The 10088-nt window shown below is 44.8% G+C and overlaps 2 annotated features.

Moving 5' to 3' along the window:
- Positions 5651–6151: an enhancer, noted in NCBI's record as "H3K4me1 hESC enhancer chr6:927074-927574 (GRCh37/hg19 assembly coordinates)". NCBI's record gives its function as "activates a minimal SCP1, AML or CMV promoter by ChIP-STARR-seq in naive H9 embryonic stem cells {active_cell/tissue: H9 hESC(naive)}" and the evidence as "EXISTENCE:reporter gene assay evidence [ECO:0000049][PMID:30033119]".
- Positions 6152–6648: an enhancer, noted in NCBI's record as "H3K4me1 hESC enhancer chr6:927575-928075 (GRCh37/hg19 assembly coordinates)". NCBI's record gives its function as "activates a minimal SCP1, AML or CMV promoter by ChIP-STARR-seq in naive H9 embryonic stem cells {active_cell/tissue: H9 hESC(naive)}" and the evidence as "EXISTENCE:reporter gene assay evidence [ECO:0000049][PMID:30033119]".

A 10088-nucleotide genomic window follows, 5' to 3' on the forward strand; every position in this document is an offset into this window, starting at 1 on the left:
AACAAGGGAACCTTCCCTATTTCAACTGGGGGCTTGTCCGGGATCCTGGAAGGTGAGTGTGAATGAATGCAAAGCTGTTGGGCCTGCCTCTCTTCCAAAACCCTGCCATCTCTCTCTCCGTGGGTAAGAGGCTGTGTTTTCCTTCAAAAACTCTGCCCTAACTGGCCAGTCAAAACCCCCAGACTTTGTCTCTTTTCTCTCTCTCACATGGTTTGAAATGGCTCTTGTGTCTTTATAGCGTTAAGAGTTTCACTACAGGCTACAGCAATGTCACTAAGTAAAGTAAGCATTTGACTCAGCTGTCAAAGGTGCAAATCAGACCAACTGTTCCTAGAAGTGCCATGTATGCCTCCATCTCTACAGCCACAGGCACTCATGGCTCAGTGCACCTCTCCTTATCCTTTCTTCTCCTAGCTCGGGCACTTAGGTTTGCCCACGGTAGACAAAGGCTGATCCCAACATCCACAAGTGGTTGCGGGAGAAAGCTGTGACAGTAGCCACAACCCCACAGGGCCAATGGACAGGGTGCTTCTCACCTGCCATGCCAATGGAACCTTTTCTCCCTTGTCCAAGGAATTCAACCTGGTCTGAACTAGGGGAAAGATATAAGGATTAGGGGGCCCACTTGCACTAAGCAAGGGATTCTTCCCCCAGAATCTCCCCCATTTTACCCCTTAAACTGTTTTTCTCTTTGTTTCCTTTTCTAAGTGAGAGGTCCCCCGCCACACACTGTTTCTGACAGAGAAGTTAATGGAGGAATGGACTCTGCTGGCTGAGAACTGCAAATTCAGCAGGGCATCTTTGGGACACTCTAAACAGATACAAACAGCCTCTAAAATACTTTTTCAGTCCCAAACTTGATTCCAAGCTTCAGGCTGAGGACTTAAAAAGAAAAACCAGGTCTGAGGGACCCAAAGCCAGGCAGCAGGCATAATGTAAATGGGTAGGACCAATTCCCACTGACTAAATCCCCCACCCCAGGCATAATGTAAATGGGCAGGACCAATTCCCGCTGACTAAATCTCCCACCCCATGGAAGGAGGCTATGCTTCATGGAATAAACAGACCCAGGGAAATCAGTGTGCCAACAGCAGGGAGAAAGTGAAGCATAGGTGAGGGTGGTTAATTCCTACTCTCCAGGTTTCCTTGCTTCAGGGGTACATACTGCAGTGGTACCTATGTCCAGCTCAGGGATAAAGGATGGGGAGTGGAGGGAGGATGCTCACTTTCTCCGTCACGCCTGGGTTTTCACTGAAAGAAGGAAGGAAATGAGGGACACCTCTATTCCCTGTCTTTCAGAAGGACAACCAGTTCTCTTCACCACTCCCAGCTTATACTCCTCTGGAGTGTGTCCTGAACCACTGCTTTGACCCTCCAAATCTGGAGGAAAAGTGCCTCATAGCGCTCTGCACAAAGGCTTGGCCTCAAGAAGGAACAATTCATTTTGATACAATCTGGCAATTGGAACTTTTCTGTAGATGTGAGGACAGATGGCCCCATATGTGCAGGCTTTGTATAACTTGCAAGTCAATCCAGACCTTTGCCGACAGTGCAGGATTGATCCAGCCCTCCTGTTTGCTGTCTCAGGGAAGGCTGCAAGGGGCAGGCCCAGGGAAGTAAAGATACGAGTCCCAGAGGCACCTCCAGGAGAGGATCCAGCTCCCTCCATCCCTGCTTCTCTGGGTTCACCCTGATCTCCCTATCCAGCTTCAGCCTCTCACTTGCTCCTGCCTAGAAATTCTCAACCTAAACAAGCCCCAGTCTCACTTTTGACCCTCCAACAGATGCCCAGTGAATTTGGGCCCAGTAAGGTCCAGGTCCCCTTCTCCCTACAGGATTTATAGCCAATTAAGGGGAATCTTGGCAAGTTTTCAGATAACCCTGATAGATATATAGAGGCTTTCCAGAATTTCACCCAAATATTTGAACTCTCCTGGAGAGACGTTATGTTACTTTTGAATTAGACCTTGACAGACACTGAGAAGCAGGCTGCCCTGCAAGCAGCAGAGAGATTTGTGGATGAGCTTTGTATCACATATAGCGTCAGGGAAGGGGGTGAATATTATCCAACTGGGAGAGAAGCAGTACAAGTGAATGACCGTAAATGGGATCCCAATGACGAGGTGGCAGACTGGAAGAAGAGGAGACACTTTCAGGTGTGCATAATGGAGGGCTTACGTAGGACTAGGACCAAGCCTCTCAATTATACTAACTTGTCCATGACTGACCAGGGATTGGATGAAAAGACCACCACCTTCCTGGAAAGGCTAAGAGAGTCCTTGGTAAAACACACCTCACCATCCCCTGATTCAGCTGAGGGATAGCTAATCCTAAAGGATAAACTTATTACTCAGGCAGCTCCTGATATCAGCAGAAAGTTGCATAAATGGACCCTTAGACCAGATAGTACATTAGAGGACCACCTGAAAGTGGTCACCTCGGTCTTTTATAATAAAAAAGGAGGCCCAGGAAAGAGTGAGGAGATACAGGTATTCCTGGGGTGCACTTGCTAACTGCTAAAAGATATGTCAAGAACAGTTACCTCTTCTAAAGTTTAACTGCTCCCATACAAGGTTGAATGTCTTTCACCAGGGTGGAACAGCTTCGGGTACAATGTTGTTGTTAGTATATTTATCTTCTTTTCTGTTTAATCTTTGGAACTAAATTCTTTCCTTGTATAATACATATATTGAACCCATGCATACTTAACCTTATAAAACTTGTTTTTTTCTCTCACGCCTAGAAGCCATCAAACTCCAAAAGGTCAGGCAACCAGAGCCTCCAACAGTGGCTCTGCTTTGCTAGGAACCCTTAGGTAGACCTCTGGGAGGAGTCTGACTGCCATTTTCCCCAAAACAACGCCCCCTGTCAGCAGGAAGCAGCTAAGACTGGTCATCATCCCTATTCTAATGGCAGTTAAATGCACTTCTTCAGAGAGGGGAAATGATATGGAAGTGCTGGGAAGGGAAGAGCCTGGTCCCTTTAAATGATACGGAAGGGAGAAGGGAAGTGCTGGGTAGAGGAGGGTGTGGTCCCTGGCTGGGGCTCCACCCACACGGACCTAGGTGAGGACAGGCATTATTGTTGCATTTCCCAAGACCACTGTGACCTGCCATGTTCCTGTCCTGTGCCTATAAAAACCCAAGACCCTAGCAAGGCAGAGATAGAAGAGGCTGGACGTCACGAGGAAGATATCGGTGGAATAAGACACAAGCAGCTGGTCGTGGAGCGCCCACCCTGCGGAAGAGCATGCCGACAGGCACGGGCAGGCCAGCAGGCCATGGAGCCATTGGCTGGTGGAGCAACACAGAGTTTGGCCAGAGTTGTCAGAGAAGAGTCGGGTCATTGAGCTGCTGGACTCCAGGGGAAAACCATCTCCCTTCTGGCTGCCCCATCTGCTGAGAGCTACTTCTACTCAATAAAACCTTGCACTCATTCTCTAAGCCCACGTGTGATCCAATTCTTCCAGTAAACTAAGGCAAGAAAGCCCGGGATACAGAAAGCCCTCTGTCTTTGTGACAAGGTAGAGGGTCTAATTGAGCTAACACAAGCTGCCTATAGATGGCAAATTAAGAGAGCACCCTGTAACACACGCCCACAGGGGCTTCAGGAACTGTAAACATTCACCCTTAGACACTGCTGTAGGGTGGGAGCCCCACAACCTGCCTGTCTGTGTGTTTCCGTAGAGGTTTGAGCAGCGGGGCACAGAAGAAGCGAGCCACGCCCCCAGCGCACGCCCTGCGAGGGGAACAAGGGAACCTTTCCTGTTTCACATGGAGCAACTTCTGTTCAACATTTTCTGTAACACATTTTTGTACCTTAAAGGGCAGAGGACCATTATGTGGTTATAGAATTACTTTCAGGGCCCCTGGCTAGACTTTTAAAAATGCATGATCACGAAGCAAAATTTCACTATGTTGAAAGTATTTAAATGTTATCAGCTGCTTTAAGGGCACAAATCCCAATGGAAAATTTCCAGGTATATAATAATTGTTTCCAGTAATAATTTTCCTCACAGGAAGGTCAAGGAGAAGCAGATATTTTAAACTATTTATAGAGTCCATTAAAGAGGATAATTAGTCGGAAAAAAACCCAGCAAATTTAGAGGTGTTTTCAAGATAGAATTACAGAAATTTCAAATATTTACAAGAGATACACGCTCCATAGCCCCATGATGTTGCAGAGTTATATGAAGCCCTTATTAATTTTTACCTTTTCTTCCCTTCTCCATACCTGAGAGCACCTACCTGGAGTTGAGATCAAGTTGGATTCAGAGCTTGAGACAGTAACTGGAAGAATTCATCTTGAGCCTCAGGAGTGAAAAGGCCCCTTGGGAAACCCTCACCCAGGAGATACACAGGAGCACTGGCTTTGGCAGCAGCTCACAATGAGAAAGATGCCTGTCACAGCCTTTGCCTTCCTCTTCTATGGAATAAAGTCCCACTGCATTCTTAGAAAATAGTGTAAAAGACATTTCCTGAGTGTGCATACTACTATGCTAGGCAATAGGAAGTTGTAAATAATTAGCACATTTGCAGCTTCCAAGAAATTTCCCACTTTGTTGGTTCAAGAACAGCCAGGGCCAGATCCACTTAAATAAAACCAGAGAAGGTCTTCCCAGAGCCAGGTAATGGAGGTGACTCATTGCATCAGCAGCAGTGAGTCCTGCTGGTGCTCTCTCCCTCAGCAGGTGAGTCCTAGGGATGGTTTGTATTCTCAGCTGGTGATGGAGGTGAGCATTAGCAGGGGTGAGTCCTGGGGATTGTTGGTGTTTTCAGCAGGTGAAGGAGGTGAGCCTCAGCAGGGGTGAGTCCTGGTGATGGTTTGTGTTCTCAGCAGGTGATGGAGGTGAGCCTCAGTGGGAGTGAGTCCTGGGGATGGTTTGTGTCCTTAGCAGGTGAGGGAGGTGAGGCTCCGTGGGGGTGAGTCCTGAGGATGGCTTGTGTCCTCAGCAGGTGTTGGAGGTGAGCATCTGCAGGGCTGAGTCCTGCTGACTCGCCCTTTGTTTGTGCCCTTGAAAGGCTGTGGTGGTAATGGCACTTCACCCCTATGGCCCTCCTACGTAGAACACAGCATCCCTGTCTAATCACAAGGGAAAAGGCAGACAAATCCCAGTTGAGGGAGATCTGAGCAATACCTGAGCAGTGTTCCTGTCAACTCTGAAAGTCTCAGAAACAAAGGAAGTCTGAGAAACTGTCACAGCCAAGAGGAGCCTGAGGAGATGTGGCAACTAAATGTAATGTGGTGTTTGGACGGGATCCTGATGCGGAAAATGAAAATTAGGCAAACCATACGGAAATCTGAATAAAATATGAACTTCAGTTGCTGATAACGTGTCAGTATTCATTCCTGAATTGTACCAAATGAACGCTATAACTGTGCAGGAGAAACAGGCTGTGAGCTGAAGAGAACTCCCTATGTCATCTTTGAATTTTTCTGTAAATCTAAAACTATTCTAAAATAAACAATGTATTTTAAATAATGAAATAAAAACAGTTAAATTTGTCCAAAAAGTGCAAAGCAGCATCAATGATAACAGCTAATATTCACTGAGAAGGTGTGCTGTACCTGGCAGTGTTCTAAGTATTTTATGGAGATTAACTTGTTTGATCCCCGTTAACAACGTTGTGAGGTAGACGCTATCACCATCCTTGTTTTGCAGCCCGGGAAACTGAGGCACAGAGCTACAGAGGTTCTCACCTGGTGTCTCAGAGGTCCTGGGGGTGGAAGCAGGCTTAGAACCCAGGCAGGCGGGCTCTTGGCCACCACACTGTCCTGGTAATCAGGTGCTGAAGGAGCTGCTGGACAAGAAGCAGTCAGAGGATGGAGCCATCCTGGGGCCTGGGGGTTAAACCCAGGTCCAGTGCTTCCAGTCTTGGCTGAGTCATTGCTACCAGCCACACGTGTGGTGAGAAACAATAAAACTGAACAAAATCTATGCGCCCCTGGACAGCAGGCAGTGCAGGACCATGGCCCTGAAGAGCAGGGAAAATGAGTTAAGCCACACTTTCACCCTGGCCATCTCCCTGGAGGTACTTTCTGGGTCACTCAGGGAGATGAGCACAAACACAGCTCAGCGCTCCTGCTGCACTGAAGAGGTGACGGGAGCACTGCTCAACGCCTGGGACACCGGGGCAGGCACCGGAGATGAGGAACGGGAGGGCCCCGGGGTCTGCGGACTTCAGCCGTGTGTCCTCAGCTCATGGCTGTGCTGTGCTTTGCACAGGTGAGATTCCATGAGGCTCCTGAGGGCAAGCGGCCACTGTGGAGCTGAGGGGTTGAAGGGGCCACTCTAGATCCCCAGGACACAGGGCACCCGCTGGCTGGAGAGACTGCAGGGAGGATGTGGGACATTCAGATGAGGTCCCAGGAACAAGGACTACACCCCTGAGAATGGTCCACAGGCCTGAATAAGCACAAAACTCCGGTAAAGAATAAAGCAAACAACATACAACTCCAGTAAAGAACAAAACACACAACTCCAGTAAAGAATAAAGTAAAGCCTGACAAACTTATGAGCTTGCCAGAAACTTGTCTGTCAGAGTGAAGTTTTAATGCCCATTAAAGAAAGACAACATAATCCCAAATCCTTGCAATGCATTGCCTATTACATCCAGCATGATGTTGTACACACACACTCCCTACAAGTTGAGGGAGAATTCAAGAACTGAAGAGTACCTGAAATTTCAAAAGTGCTGAATGACTTAATAACACATTGGAAACAATAGAAGGAGGTACAGTAAACTTAAAGACAGTCAATACAAATGATCTCATCTGAGGAACAAAAAGGGAAGAGTTTTTAAAAATAGACAGAGGCTCATCGGTATTGGAGACCTACCATGCACTGTAACATGAATGTAATAAATTCACAAAAGACAGGCTGGAATAAAAAAGCATTTGAAATAATAGTGGTTGAAATTGCCCCAAATTTATTTAAATAGCATTAACTTTTTTTATGTTTGCAAAGCTCTTCAAACATCAAGCCAGGTAAATACAAGAAAATCACATCTAGACACATAAATAGTCAAATTCTGAAAATATACCATAAAGATGAAATATTCAAAGCAGTCAGAGAAAAACATCTTTCCTACAAGCGAACAGTGTCCCTGAATTAATCCGTTCTCGTGCTACTAATAAAGGCATACCAGAGACTGGGTAATTTATAAAGAAAAAGAGGTTTAATGGACTCACAGTTCCACATGGCTGGGGAGGCCTCACAATCATGGTAGAAGGCAAAGGAGGAGCAAAGGCACGTCTTACATGGCAGCAGGCAAGAGAGTGTGTGCAGGGGAATGGTCCTTTATAAAACCATCAGCTCTCCGGAGACTTATTCACTATCATGAGAACGGCATGGGAAAAATCTGCCCCCATGATTCAATTACTTTCCACCAGGTCCCTCCCATGACACTTGGGGATTATGGGAGCTACAATTCAAGATGAGATTTGGGTGGGGACACAGCTGAACCATATCAGTCCCAAACAAGAAATGACGTCTCATCAACATCAGTGGAGTCTTGTAAACAGTACAATGCTGTCTTTAAAGTGCCAAAAAGAAAAATAAACTAGTTCAACCATTGTGGAAGTCAGTGTGGCGATTCCTCAGGGATCTAGAACTAGAAATACCATTTGACCCAGCCATCCCATTACTGGGTATATACCCAAAGGATTATAAATCATGCTGCTATAAAGACACATGCATACATATGTTTATTGCAGCACTATTCACAATAGCAAAGACTTGGAACCAACCCAAATGTCCATCAATGATAGACTGGATTAAGAAAATGTGGCACATATACACCATGGAGTACTATGCAACTGTAAAAAATGATGAGTTCATGTCCTTTGTAGGGACATGGATGAAGCTGGAAACCATCATTCTCAGCAAACTATCACAAGGATAGAACACCAAACACCGCATTTTCTCACTCATAGGTGGGAATTGAACAATGAGAACACATGGACACAGGAAGGGGAACATCACACACTGGGGCCTGTTGTGGGGTGGGGGGAGGGGGGAGGGATAACATTAGGAGATATACCTAATGTAAATGACGCGTTAATGGGTACAACACAAAAACATGGCACATGTCTACATATGTAACAAACCTGCACATTGTGCCCATGTACCCTAGAACTTAAAGTATAATAAAAAAATAAAACTGCCAACCTAAAATCAAATTCATATATATATATATATATAACATGACCCATTTGGATTAATCCTAGCAACGTAAGTTTAATATTTCAAAATCTATCAACAGAATTCAGAACATTACAGAATAAAGGAGAAAACCATTTGATCATCTCCATAGATGTGGAGGAAAAGCATTTGGTAAAACTAAAAGTTTGTTCATATCCTCCACTCGTGCAAACCAGGCATATGAGGGTGCTTCTGCTGCCAGCACCCTTGATGAATATACTGGATGCTTTCTCCCTGAGATCAGGGAAGGTAAATGTGTCCAGCATCACCGTTTCTATTCAACATTGTCTTGGTGATCCTAGTCAGTGCTCTAACGCAGAAAAAATACCTAAAAGACATAAAGTTTGGGAAGGAAGAACCAAACTGTGTACATAAGGAATCCTGGAGAATTTACAGAAAGCTGCTGGTTTGATACATGGATTCAGCACATTCACGGGAAACTCACCAGAAAGCTAATACACAAAACTCACTTGGGGCCTGGCGCGGTGGCTCACGCCTGTCATCCCAGCACTTTGGGAGGCCGAGGTGGGCGGATCACGAGGTCAGGAGATCGAGACCATCCTGGCTAACACGGGGAAACCCCGTCTCTACTAAAAATACAAAAAAAATTAGCTGGGCGTGGTGGCGGGCACCTGTAGTCCCGGCTACTCGGGAGGCTGAGGCAGGAGAACAGTGTGAACCCGGGAGGCGGAGCTTGCAGTGAGCTGAGCTCGCACCACTGCACTCCAGCCTGGGCGACAGAGCGAGATTCCGTCTCAAAACAAACAAAAACTTATTTGCATTTTTATTTTCTAGCAAGTGATAAGAGGAGCATTAAATTTAAAATGTACAATTCGCAGTAACAACTAAAGCATTACATATCTAGGAATCTATGTAAGAAAAGATATGCAAAATCACTACACTGAAAAATACAAAGCGTTGTTGACAAAAATTGCCCAAGACCTATGTGAGTGATGAAACATGTCATGTTTGCTTCGGAAGACTCAATACTGTAGGATGTCAAACCTCCCCAAATTGATCTGCAGGTTCAATACAATCCCCGATCAAATTTTCAACTGGTTTCTTAAAGATACTGAGAAGCAGATTCTCAAATTTATTTGGAAATGCAAAAGAATAGGCAAAACGAATACTTTCTTACACAAGTAGAAAATAGTACTTTTCTCAGGGGCAGGGAGATGGCTATAGACTAGGAAGTGCATGAGGAAAACTTCTGAAGCCCAGCAAATTTTCACATCCGAGCTGGGTGGTGGTTAAATATAGGCATAGATGTAAATAAGTATCCATCAAACTGTACAATTACAATTAATGCACCTTAAACAATTTAAACATAACTCAAGACAAAAACTAACAATGGAAGAATCAATTAAAATGTGACAATGTGATCTTAAAACGTTTAGCACTGATCCACAATGAATATACTACATGAAAAACCTCTGATATAATGCTAAAGAAATACTTAAAGGAATATTTATAATCCTAAATAATTACATTAGAAAAAATAATTAATGGGCTCATATTCTTATTCCAGAAATTAGGACAAGAGCGACCTAACAAACTAGGGAAACAAGAAGGGAAGAAATTGTGATCAGAAATCATTGAAATAAAAAAGAAAACAATAACACAAAAGATTAAAACGGAAAAATCTATTCATTGGAATAGGCTCATGATATAAACAAACCCCTAGCAAATATTATTAGAAACATATAGAGAAGTGATATGCAGAAGAGAGAAGGGAAAAGTCCTTACAAAAATATTAGAATTGGAAAGGTCGAGGGAAGAGTAAACACAGCTGAGATTGGAATCACAAGCAAATATAAATGAATCTTAAGCAAGTTACTGTGGTAATGGAGGTCGAAAGAGAAATTCCTGGGAAAGGAAATTACCA

The sequence above is a fragment of the Homo sapiens genome, chromosome 6 (genome assembly GCF_000001405.40).
Source record: "Homo sapiens chromosome 6, GRCh38.p14 Primary Assembly".
NCBI lineage: Eukaryota > Metazoa > Chordata > Mammalia > Primates > Hominidae > Homo > Homo sapiens.